This window comes from Homo sapiens, chromosome 6 (assembly GCF_000001405.40).
Source record: "Homo sapiens chromosome 6, GRCh38.p14 Primary Assembly".
Taxonomy (NCBI): Eukaryota; Metazoa; Chordata; class Mammalia; order Primates; family Hominidae; genus Homo; species Homo sapiens.
This window is the reverse complement of record NC_000006.12, coordinates 111327344-111340981: the sequence shown is the minus strand read 5'-3', so window position 1 is coordinate 111340981 and position 13638 is coordinate 111327344. Positions and strand designations below refer to the sequence as shown.

The 13638-nt window shown below is 33.9% G+C and overlaps 1 protein-coding gene across 13 annotated transcripts in view; it reads left to right on the top strand.

The window, feature by feature from the left end:
* The window catches only part of REV3L (REV3 like, DNA directed polymerase zeta catalytic subunit), a 184679-nt gene that overhangs the window by 142730 nt on the left and 28311 nt on the right, over positions 1-13638 (top strand). For 10 of the 13 annotated variants that reach the window (NM_002912.5, NM_001286432.2, NM_001286431.2 and 7 more), the window contains 4 exons: positions 5372-5513; positions 7615-7859; positions 9198-9306; positions 11244-11450. In NM_002912.5, coding sequence (NP_002903.3) covers positions 5372-5513; positions 7615-7859; positions 9198-9306; positions 11244-11450 — 703 coding nt within the window. Of the gene's footprint in view, positions 1-5371; positions 5514-7614; positions 7860-9197; positions 9307-9925; positions 10081-10669; positions 10795-11243; positions 11451-13638 lie in introns of those variants that run through there. The other 3 variants (XM_047419219.1, XM_047419217.1, XM_047419218.1) reach the window with 2 other exon arrangements.

Genomic DNA, 13638 nt, shown 5'->3' with positions numbered 1-13638 from the left:
CTATATTCAGTGGTTTGTTTATAAGCCCCGGAATCTCTAAATACATGTTTTACCACCTTTAATTAGGTATTATCTAGGATGATAACTGTTTTTGACAAGTAAAATAGAGGACTGGAACTAAAATTGTACAGAAGGGACTTAGACTAGACATTAGACCATTTATGTCAAATGGATTATGTTATATGAGAAGACCATGCACTCTTTGAGTAGTCTTGGAAATATCAGACAACTTCATTCTTAAATTTAAGTGAATACTTAAATTTAAATGAGTACATTCTTAACTTTAAGTGAATACAAAAAAATAAGTCTGACTTACTTTTTTGGTAGGTATGGTAACCCCTTTTGATTTCCATTTGCTTTCTACAGTGTTTTAAGGACATACATATATATTGTAAATCGACTTAGAATGAGAAGAACTTGCTAGTCAAGGATTTCTTGTGTTAAACCTGTAAAACACAAAGGTACCCTAATTTTTTTTAATAAACCCAGATTTTTGTCTCCTGGAAGCCCCAGATTTATATGAATGAATTATGTTCCCAACATTTTATTGTTTCAAGCTTAGAACACATTTTTTCATAAAATAATGTCTTGTGATTAGATTCCTAAGCCAGCCTATAAAACTTTTCCTAATCTCTAATATTACTAATCTATATAATTCCTAATACCAGCATGATTTTATCTGTCATTCAAGGAATAGTTATTAAATACTATTCCAGATTCCAGTTTCTGAGCTAGGAGGTATATCCTGGGAGCAGAGTTCTGTAGCTGAAGAAGATAATATAAGAAATTTTCTTTTCTATTTGCTGAGTATAGAGCCAGTCCACAGAAAAACTTCAGAATAAGTGAATTTTGTACTCGGGATTCTCCTGTCTCCTTTTTTGTCACCTTCTCCCCAGATGAACTATCTTGAAAAATATCCATGCCTTCAGGATGCTCTAAGTTCCCATTTCAGCACTACCCAAGCCTATCCTGAGTAGCATGTGCTTTATAAGTATGTTTCCCTTCCTCCTTTCCGGATCAAAACTTGTATTTATTACCGTTAAGTTTGACAAAGCATTAGGAGGATGGCATAATTCTTTAACAACAATTTAAAAAACTAACAAAAGTCAATCTTCTCCTTTAACCATAAGTAAAGGCCACAATTACTCTTTCTCTTTTATGTTATATGGTTAGTCAGATAGGACCCGAAAGTAGAAAGGATGATGATTTTATTTCGGAAAGATCACTTTTTTAAATTAAAAAGTCTAAAATACATTTTTTTAAATTAGCCATTCAAAGTATTTTTTATATTCATGCCTATAGGTCAGCAGATTTAGATCAGAAAACAGCAGTTGTTACCTGCTGGATAAACTGTATAAGATAAAATGTCCCTTGTTAAATTAACCTTTAGTTATGAAAGATAAGATGCATCTAATTTGTTTATATTACTTGGTTACCAGTCAGTGGAGAGGAATACATTTAGTGTGAAATGAATAAGCATTCATTTCACAAAATGGTCTACCATTTTTGTTAGTGAGGAAATGAGTACTTTGCTGTGATGACAGAAATTTAACAAGACAGTTACTCATTTATAATGTATTATCTTGTTTTCTTTTCATCATGTTTTCGTTTATTTGGCCAAAATCTCAGGTTCTAGTGTACTAGGTTTGTAAACTAGGATGGATTAGTCTTACAGTAATCCTCAGTTTTCTTATCTATAATAGAGAGATGTTAATATATTCTACCTCATGAAGTGAAGTAAGAATTAAATGAGATAGTATGAGTCTTCAACACACAGAAGGCTCTCAATAAATGTTAATTAATTGGTACGTCTTTCTTTTCAGGATAGAGAATTAGATTCTGAATGAAATGGGGAAATAGTAATTACCATAATTATCATAATAATAGCAGCAAAGGTTATTAAGTTTTTGCTTTTGCCTAACACCTTACAACAGTTTCACCTTACAACAGTGAAACCACTGTTTCACACATACAGAAACTGAAAACTAGAGAGTTAAATGATTTGCCTAGGGTCACGTAGCAGCTTGCAGTAGAGCCACAATTTGAACCTACGACTATCTCACTCCAAAGTCTGTGCTGTCAACCAATATGTGAAAATCTCTTAGACTATATTCTTCAAAATGTGAAATAAACCATTTCCACTTTTTAAAAAGAGTTAGTTATATGTAGCATAGTAAAAATATTTCTTTTGAAATATACTATTATATCCATTTATTTAAGTTCTAATAGACTATACTGCCTAAAAAAATAGAGTTGATCTTAGTCAAATCACTTAAATCAGGAACCTTTAAGATTCAGTTTAATCAGTTTTGTATATAAAGTATTAGACTTACTTTCACCATTTTTGCCCAAAAACAAACTTCTGTACTTCATTAAATAACATCAACAAAAGTAAAAAGCTAACATCAACCTAGGAAAACCATTTTCACCGTAACAGTTATGTATATTAACTATATTATATACTTTTAAATTAGTAAAAAAAAGGGTAAAAGACATGAACAATTATCAAAGGAAAAAAATCCTGAAATATTCAAATGTTTACCTTACTAAAGGAATTCTTAATCTGCTGATTATGTTTCTTAATTGTACCATGAATTACAAAAACCTATTGGCAAGATCAGTCTTATTTAAAAAAAAAAAAAAAAAAAAAAAAAAAAAAAAAAAAAAAAGGACTTTAGACTGGAGTAAACAAAGAAAATAAACCAGTATGTTTTAAAACACATTTTCCGAAACAAATTATCGTCAACATACTTCAATTGGTAACTCTTCTCCTGAATCACCACCTACAGATTTCAAGGAAATATTCGTGCCCAGTCAGCATGATTATCTGTTGAAACAGATTCTTATATATGTGTAATACATACCTTTTTAAAGTTTTCTGTTAAACCTGTGTTGGTTGAGACTTAACACTTATTTTTCTCATGTTTTACAAATCTCAGCAAAATGCTTGTGTGCTGCCTGGCATTTTCAGAAATTATGTTGGTGTCTCACTATTTTGGTATCTCATTTGGCATGTTTCTCCAGGTCAGCTCTCTGTCCATATGTTGAGAGGGCAAAGTGTAAATGTTATCTCCTTTTTCTGCACTCTCCATAGATAAATCCACACATCCTGAAGGAGTGGTGAGCCATTAAATCCATTTTGTTCTATTTTAAAGGGACTGATCTGATTTGTACATAATGCATTATTTCAGATTTACACTTTGCAGTTTTGTATTGTTGAGGGGTTACATTAATGATCTAAAACAAAACAATGCAGATTAAAATGTATCATTTTTTGTCTATCAAACTCATAATAATTTTAAAAACTATAATCTTCATTGTTAACAAATATACAAGGAAACAAGCACTTTATCATCACTAGTATGAATATAAATTATTAAAACCTTTCTGGAAAGCAGTGTATTGTTAGGTATTGAAAACTGACCAAATCTAGGAATTTATTTTAAGGAATTATTTAATCATCTGTATAAAGACTTAGCTTTAAAAATGTTCATCATACCATTGCTTACAGTAATAAAAGATATTCAGTAAGTGTTTCGATTAAATATGTTATCATTATACAATAGCACGCTCGATAGCTACAAAACATAAATATGGGGAGTCAGTATATTAAGTTAAAAATGTAAATTATGAAACAAAATTTCTGTTTCTTAAACATTTATAGAGTTTAGGATTCTTTCATGTTTGCCTAATGTTTTAACAGCTTTATTCAGATATAATTTGTATATCATACAATTTACCCATTTAAAGTATATAATTCACTGGCTTTCAGTATATTCAGAGTTGTACAACATCATCACAGTAAGTTTTATACTATTTTAATTACTCTAAATGGAAATCCTGCATCACCTAGCCACCACTCTTCAACCTTTCATCACTCCTATCACCCCCTCCACCAGAGTCCCCCCACCCTCTACCTCTTGCCTTAGACAACCGCTGATCTATTTTCTGTCCCCATAGATTTATATCTTAAGTCCCCTGACAGCTTTTTAATTCTCTAATTTTCCCAAATAAATTTGACTGTCCTCAACATTTCACATGAACAGAATCGTGCAATATGTAATCTTTTGTGGCTGGCTTCTTTTAGCATAATGCTGTCCAGAATTGTCCATGTTATAGCATCTTTCAGTATTTCTTTTATTGCTGAATAATACTGTATCGTATGGATATATACTGCATTTTATTTCTTCATCAGTTGATAGACATTTTGGTTGTTTCCACTTTGGGCTACTATGATTAATACTGTAATGAACATTGATATATAGTTTTTTGTGTAGATACCCTCTTTCATTCCTTTTGGATATGTACCTAGGAGTAGAATTTTTGGTGGATTATATGGTAACTCTATGTTTAACTGTTTGAGGAACTGCCAAATTATCTTCCCAAGCAACTACTCTATTTTACGTTCCCACCAGCAGTATATGAGGATTCCAATGTCTCTACTTTCTTGGTAATATACTGTTATTATCTTTTTTATAATAGGGTATTTTTTTCTTCCTTCACATGCATTTTCTAGTTTTTCTATTAAGCATTAGTCATGTGTCTGAGGAAAAGGTCTTTAAACACATTTATTAGACAATTATGTGACTATATTGTTCTAAAAGCAATATAATTAAAGATTACAATATATGTGAACCTTAATCTTCAAATGAATAAATTTTATTCCTTATAGTATACTTCTGGGTCATTTTTACATCTTATAATATTAAAATTCTTTTTATGGATTTGCTGAGGGTTTTATTGTTTGTTTTCTTAAGAAGGTAAGGTAAAGAGGTTAAATTTAAGGTTTAAACTGAAAAACAGAACTTTTATATTTTAACAAAAAATACTTATTGAAATATGTTTAACCCATGTATTATCTCACTAAAATTTATGTTCCTGATTTTTCTAAATCTTCACCAAATTACTCTTTTTTTTTTGCCATGAACATAGTGCATGTTTTTATTTTAGACTTACAATGATAACCCAGACCCTTCATGTTCTTTAAAAATCTATAGATATGATAAATAATTATTGCATAATCAGCAGCTGTATCTTAAAGGAGAATGTTAATTTTCTATAATAAGAATAGAAAAAAAAAGAATAGAGCAACATCAAGCAAAATATTGAAAAAGAGTGATCCTTAATCTTACCACCTAATCACAAGTACTATTTTAAATTTTGTGTATCTTTACTGGTTTTCATGCCCTTGAAATACCTAAAATTTTCTAATGTTTAATTCCTTAGCATACTTTGCTTAAAGGCTCATATCATTACTCTTTCCTTAAGTAACCTCACTTTTAGCATGTAGATTTTTGGCAGGAAAAAAAGTACTGTTTTCAAGTGTCCAAATTTTTCCCTGATGTTCATAATGTGGATTCTTTTTTAACAGATGGAAAATGGTTGATCATTATGTTAGCCGTGTCCGTGGAAATCTCCAAATGTTAGAACAGCTGGACCTGATTGGGAAAACCAGTGAGATGGCTAGACTTTTTGGCATTCAGTTTTTACATGTACTGACAAGGGGTTCACAGGTGGGAAATCAGTTTTCTTGCAGACTTGAAAGTTCTGTATGAGTGATACACTTTTGTGATGTTTGAAGTGATTTGACTTTTTAAACTTTCTGTTTGGTACCAACTAATCAATAGCTGGGTAATTAAATCTTGTCATTTTATTCTCTTTCTATGCCAACTTTCCGGCCACTGCCAAGTTTTTTATGGTATTAAGAAAATAAATGTCCATGCCCTTAAGGATATAATATTCCTGAATATTGTTACTGTGATTAAAGATGTCCCTTAAAACTAGAGAAGCAACAAAGAAAGTACCTTTCTTTTGTTTTACATTTTTAATTTTGGCTTGTTAAAACTTCCCATAGATAATTTTAATATAAAAATAAAAAGCTTGAAAATCAATATAAGTGGACTATGTAACTTTTTTAAATGTTATAAAAAAAGAAACCTAAGAAGCCATTTAATTCATATCTAAGTAATTTCCCAAGGATATAATGAGAGATTTTTACTAAACGCCTTGCTGAAAATGATTTTATATATTCAACAAATATGTATTTGAATACCTGTAGTTTGTTAAGCACGGTGGTAGGCATCAGCGATACCATATTAAAACACTCAGATTCCTTAACGTTGTAAAATCCTTACTTATTTTAATTACCTGTGTCTATAACATAATCAACCAGTTCAGTAAATATAGCAAAAATAGAGTTCCAACTACGTTTGTTTTACCTGTTTATTTCATTTAATTGCTTATAAGCTATTTATTTTATTTATACCCATCAAATTTAACAACTGTTTGAGCTAGTCTGTAATAAAAGGCAAAAATACCTTAAAACCTCATGAGAATACTTCAGTGAACCCAGGCTGGTTCTTGTGAGTAATTTTTTTTCTAATACCCCAAGCCTTCTAATAGTTATTATTAGAAACAAACATACCAGTAATTGCTTGATTCAGTTTTGCTAGGGACCAGTAATAAGCTGATTACTATTCAGTTCTTTTTTTTTATTTTTTAATTATTTCCACAACAAAAGCCACATTCAATACTTTATAATTCTATAATCATTTTGTTTCTTTCTTTGAAAAACTGGGATAACATTTTCTATCTTAAGTCTCCTGACAGCTTTTTAATTCTCTAATTTTCCCAAATAAATTTCTCCAGGATTATCAACCAACTTCTTAAACGAAATTGTCAAACTATACAGCTGTCTGTCCTACAGTTTTTTATTATGGTGTAGCTGTATTTAAATACAAAGAGGGCCAGGTGCAGTGGCTCACACCTGTAATCCCAGCAGTTTAGGAGGCCAAGGCAGGGGATCACTTGAGGTCAGGAGTTCAAGACCACCTTGGCCAACATGATGAAACCCCATCTCTACTAAAAATACAAAAATTAGCTGGGCATGATGGCACAAGCCTGTTATCCCAGCTACTTGGGAGGCTGAGACAGGAGAATCACTTGAACCCTGGAGGTGGAGGTTGCAGTGAGCCGAGATTTTGCCATTGCACTCTAGCCTGGACAACAGAGCGAGACTTCATCTCAAAATAAATAAGTAAATAATAAAAATAAAAAGAGATCTAATTGCATCTGTCTTTTAAAATTGACTTATCTTTTAAGTTATTTGACATGTTTTATAGTTTTTATAAAAGTCGTAGGAATAGGAAAAGGATTTACATATATCCCTTTTCGCATCTGAAAGCTGACTAAATAACCAGTATTACAGGCTGGTCATAGTGGCTCACGCCTATAATCCCAGCACTTTGGGAGGCTGAGGTGGGCGGATCACCTGAGGTCAGGAGTTCGAGACCAGCCTGGCTAACATGGTGAAACCCTGTTTCTACTAAAAATACAAAAAATTAGCTGGACATGGTGGCGCATGCCTGTAATCCCAGCTACTCGGGAGGCTGAGGTAGGAGAATCGCTTGAACCTGGGAGGCGGAGGTTGCAGTGAGCCGCAATCGTGCCATCGTACTCCAGCTTGGGCAACAAGAGCGAAACACTGTCTCAAAAAAAAAAAAAAGTCATACAATCTTATTCTGAAAAGCAGATTATCCTCAAATGATTATATATTCAAATGACCAATATATTTAACTGTGTTTCTTCTCTTCTCACCTCCCTTTCTCCCTGCAGTACCGTGTGGAATCAATGATGTTGCGTATTGCTAAACCAATGAACTATATTCCTGTGACACCTAGTGTTCAGCAAAGATCCCAGATGAGAGCCCCACAGTGTGTTCCTCTAATTATGGAGCCTGAATCCCGCTTCTATAGCAACTCTGTTCTCGTTTTGGATTTCCAATCACTTTATCCTTCTATTGTGATTGCATATAACTACTGCTTTTCCACCTGCCTTGGCCATGTGGAGAACTTGGGAAAGTAAGGTTTTTTTCACATTTACAATAATATTGTTGTGCTTTGTACTTCTTACTAAAATTAGACACTTTCTGAGTGTCTCTTTGCTCTGGACACCTTCCCTATGAGCAAGATAAATGGACTGTATCCCAGCTAATCCATTCATTATAGTTGTCTTACCAATTGACATGGATCACCATATGATTAATCCAGCTTCATGGATGGATGACTCATGAAGAGGATTGGGAATAGGTCAGCCTTGCAACTGTTTCACTCCATATGTAACTATAGTCTCTTTTAAAATGAAAGTTAAATTGTTGATGTAAATTACCTTTCAGTGGAACAGTTTGAGGATTATGATCTTATAACTTCAACTAGACCTCCTCTTTATTTTTCTTATAAATAGTCCAGGATTTTAAAAATTAAATGTTAGGTTTTATTAATTAATGTAAATTAAATTTTATAAACTGATAATAACATTTTAAATTCTCAAAGGATTAGATACTTTTCTTAAATTGTAGGAAATAACGGAGTCTTCCTTTTTATTGATTTTTGCGTATTTGAGATCATGTGTTGGTTTTAGTATATCCTATATTCCTTCATAGAAAGCATCTGTGGAAATTATATTGGTAATCCTGTCTTTTTATTAAAAACAGGAATTTGGAAAATTTACAAGATTTACAGTATTTCTATTTAAGGTTTAAATTATTCTTTAAATATATTCACAAGGATGTTAAAATAAATTTTTATTTAAGTAATTTAGTATAAGATGATTGGGCTGGACGTGGTGGCTCACACCTGTAATCCCAGCACTTTGGGAGGCCAAGGCGGGCAGATCATGAGGTTAGGAGATCGAGACCATCCTGGCTAACATGAGGAAACCCTGTCTCTACTAAAAATGCAAAAAATTAGCCGGGTATGGTGGCAGGCACCTGTAGTCCCAGCTACTCGGGAGGCTGAGGCAGGAGAATGGCATGAACCCGGGAGGCGGAGCTTGCAGTGAGCCGAGATCGCGCCACTGCACTCCAGCCTGGGTGACAGAGCGAGACTCCATCTCAAAAAATAATAATAATAAAATAAATAAGATGATCAGATGTTGAGTTGAAATTTGGTATTTCAGTATAGATTTTACCCATAAATTTTAGGATAGTGCCATTTAAGAAATGTTTCTTGTAATAAATTATGAATATTTGAAAAACTATTTTGGTAATGAGGCAAATAAACATATTACTAAGTACATGAATTCTTGTTTAGATGTTTGAAAATGAATTTCTAATGGAGTTAGAAAGATTTTTTAAATTGCGTAAAATCTCTGTTCTATGATTTGAGGAAGTATTTGCTTAATGTTCTCTTTCTTAACAGGTATGATGAGTTCAAATTTGGCTGTACCTCTCTGAGAGTACCTCCAGATTTACTTTACCAAGTTAGGCATGATATCACAGTGTCCCCCAATGGAGTAGCTTTTGTCAAGGTAATACTCTCTTGTAAATGAAAGATAACAACTATGGCTTAACTTTTGGAGAGCTGATAATGGTTTAGATATTGTTGGCACATAATAGAAAACAAAAACACCGAGTTTGCTTGAATATTTTATCTCAAAAAGTCAAAGATATGAGAATCTTCTAAGAAATCACTTCAGGAACAAACCAGTCACCTTGTTTTTCTTGAATTTAGGTTTTAAATCTTTAAATTGTTAAATTTTAGTTAACGAAATATTGAAAGAAATAAACGTATGCTTATACTTTCTGCCCTTTATTAGAATCAGGCAGACTTAAATGGCAACTTAATGGTCAAAATATATTACCTACAAAGATTTAAATTGTTTTAATGTGTAGATGCTACTAGTTGTTCTTCTACATTATTTTAAATTAAGACTATCTTAGAATTAATGATACTCTAATAGGCTTATTGTTTATATTTTTCAGAAGATATCCAAACTAAAAATAGGGTCCCTTTTTTCTCTCCTGTATCTCCCCTCAAAAGAGACAGAGGAAAACTTTACAAATTAAAGACAAATAAGAGACATCTTAAAAGAAGATTATATTGCCTCTTAAATGCCAACTTTATTCCTTTCTTTTCTATTTTCTTAGCAGTGAGTCTGTACTAGAATCATGAGACAGTAGAGTGGTTGATGGTAGAGTGGACCCCACCAGCCCTCAAATTCATTCTGGTGTACTATATCAAAAGTGGCATCATTCTCTACCAGTAAGAGGGAATACTAAACTAAAATTAGCCATGTAGATGAAGAAAATTTTAACCAAAGAGTTCATGGTATGTTTCTTTTTGGAAAATTTTAAAATGTAGTATTTCTAAGGACTGATGTAGATGAGATCTACTTGGAGAAATGGAAACAGATTTTTTTTTATTAAATGGGTCTCTATATAAAAATCAGTTTTCCAGTCACATTTCTGCGAATTTGGTCCCTGTTCTTTTTATCTTATGTCTTAAAACATTATGGCTGCTTCAAAATGTACACCAAATGAATTAGAGGTTAGAATATGTTCCATTGTCGCATATCTAGCAGCTTATTATCTCCCTTTAACAGCTTTTTTTTAAACTTGCATCTACTTTTGGACCCAGTGTGTAAAGCTTAATGAAAATAAGATTTTTTAAATATTCAGGTGTGTGAATATCCTATACCTGAGATTTTAATTGTTAGGTCTGACATGCATTACCTTGCACGTGTCTGTGAATCATCATCAAAGTTAATACTGTTTTGTGGTTTTCATTCCTACTGGAGTTCTCATAAATTCTCCCTAGTCTTGATGAATACAAATGATTTTTTTTTTGGCATCAACAAATTTTATCACCTCACTATTCATCCCCTCTTCCAGATTGCTAATAAATGTAGGCCGGAGGGGATGGCTTAGTGGTCTAAGCATCAGATTTGAAATACCTAGAGTCCCTGGAACTGCAGGTTTGAATGTCAGCAGAGTCAACCCAGCTCATCATTCTTCCAAGGTAGATAAATGGAGTTCCATGCAGATTTCTGTGTGGGGTCATTAGGATGAGATCTTTAAAAACTGAGTTGGTTATGAGTGATACAAGTCCCATGTGTCATTTTGAAAGAATGGGGGTTTCTGTCAAAGTTTCGAACAAAATTTCCCTCTGAAGTTGTTGTATGGTCACTTATGCACTAGTTGACATCCTCCTCCCTGGAGGTCTCTGAACTCACATAGAAGTGCTCTGTTAGATTTATAAACATTGCAGGAACCATTTAGGAGAAATCCTCTTCCAAGAAATAAAATGTGATGATTTTATATTGACGGCCACTAATACTATGGTCACTCTGTTGTTAGCATGTTTCAATTCCTGACAGTTGGCCATTATTATGTTTTATGCTTCCTTCTTAATTATGTAAATCTATAATGTTTGAGGGGTTTTAAACATTTTTTTTCTTTATGATAGCCTTCAGTAAGAAAAGGTGTACTACCAAGAATGCTTGAAGAAATTTTGAAGACTAGATTTATGGTGAAGCAGTCAATGAAGGCTTACAAGCAAGACAGAGCCCTGTCACGAATGCTTGATGCGCGTCAGTTGGGACTTAAGCTGATAGCAAATGTCACATTTGGCTATACATCTGCTAATTTTTCTGGGAGAATGCCATGCATTGAGGTAAGTGATACAAATCTGTAGTTTTTTCAAAAGAGACTAAAATACAGTGAGGCACGGTGGCACTCACCTGTATTCCCAGTTACTTTGGAAGCTAAGATGTGGTGCGGGGGTCTTCAGCCCAGAGTTGAATCCTGCCTGGACAACATAGTGAGACCTCATCTCTTTTTTAAAAGAAAAAAAAAAAAAAAAGGCCAGGCATGGTGGCTCACGCCTGTAATCCCAACACTTTGGGAGGCCAAGGCAGGCGGATCACATGAGGTCAGGAGTCGCGACCAGCGTGGTCAACAGGGTGAAACCCCATCTCTACTAAAAACACAAAAATAAGCTAGGTGTGGTGGTGGGCACCTGTAATCCCAGTTACTCAAGAGGCCGAGGCAGGATAATTGCTTGAACCCAGGAGGCAGAGGTTGCAGTGAGCCAAGATCGCGCCATTGCACTCCAGCCTGGGCGACAGAATGAGACTTGGTCTCAAAAAAGTGGCTCACACCTGTAACCCCAACACTTTGGGAGGCCAAGGCATGTGGATTACTTGAGCTCAGGAGTTTGAGACCAGCCTGGGCAACATGGTGAAATCCCATCTCTAACCAAAAATGCAAAAACTAGCCGGGCATAGTGTTATGTGCCTGTGGTCCCAGTTACTTGGGAAGCTGAGATGGGAGGATCACTAGAGCCCAGGAAGTCAAGGTTGCAGTGAGCCATGATTGCACCACTGCATTCCACCCTGGGTAACAGAACGAGACCCTGTCTCAAAAAAAAGAGACTAAAGCAGCATTAAATGAATGCCTGTTCATTCAAGCATTTCATTTTGTTTTAAAACTTTAAACCATTTCATTTCTATGACATAACATCAGTTTTTCTCATGCCAAGCCTAAATATATATATATTCTTGGGGATCTGTGACTTTTCTCTATAAGATACCTCTGTGTCTTTATTCCAATGATAATTTTAGAAATTAGCATACACCTATTTCTGCATGATCTTCATAACTATACTGTAACTTTCTATTAGCATAAAATTTCAGTGCCACCTTTGTAGCAGTTTTTACAACAGCCTTGGTACTGCATAATTCATTTTATGTATTGACAAGAGATCTGATTATAGTTATGTTGGCTTGTCCAAATGTCACAATTAGCCAGGTGTGGTGTCTCACACTTGTGATCCCAACTCAGGAGGCTGAGGTGGGAGGATTGCTTGAGCCCAAGAGTTCAAGACTAGCCTAAGCAACATAGTGAGCCCTTGCCTCTATTAATACACAAAATTAAAAACTAAAAAAATTTTTTAAGTCAGAATAAACAACAGTCATTCCATATTTACTAGTATACCAGTAGATATAAAGCACAACCTTTTTTGCAATGATAGTGACAGTTGAAAGACATTTTTCATAGAATGACTTAATTTCATATTTACTAAGTTAAGGTGTTTATTTGATACAAATACAATATAGTGTGACAGGGTAATATAAATAATATACTAGTGAGTGAGAAAAGAACAGAGTAACTTGTTATATTGTGATCTTTTCATGCCAAATGAAGGTCAGAGAACATTGTGGTATATCATATTTGCATTAGTTCAGTAAGAGAAAAGCAGGGAAAGCATAAAGTCTTCACACAGCTCACAGTAGGCAAAATGAACTCCAAAAACATGAGCAAGGCAGTAGTGGCATATTCACATTGAAAGCAGCAAAATACCATCTATAGTGGAAACTTAATATTGTTAACTTGAATATTTTGGTACAGTAATATGATTTTGTGCTGGATAAATTTTTTTATAGTTGCACTGTAAAGGCTGTAAGCAATAAAAGTTTGTATCTAGGTTTATATTTGTATACTTTTAGGTAAGATAAAAAATACTTTGTCAGTCCTGGGGGTTCATATTAATACATTTGAAAACCACTGATCTATATGATCTAGCAGGAAAAAAAAAATGGAAATGATATTACTAATGTAAAACCAAAAGCTATCCTTTTTTTTTTTTTTTTGAAACAGCGTCTTGCTTTATCACCCAGGCTAGAGTGCAGTGGCTTAACCACGGCTCACTGCAGCCTCGACCTCCCAGGCTCAAGCAATCCTCCCACCTCTGCCTCCAAGTAGCTGGGACTACAGGTGCTTACCTCTATGCCCAGTTAAGTTTTCTATTTTTTGTAGAGATGGGGTTTCGCCCTGCTGCCCAGGCTGGTCTTGAATTCCTG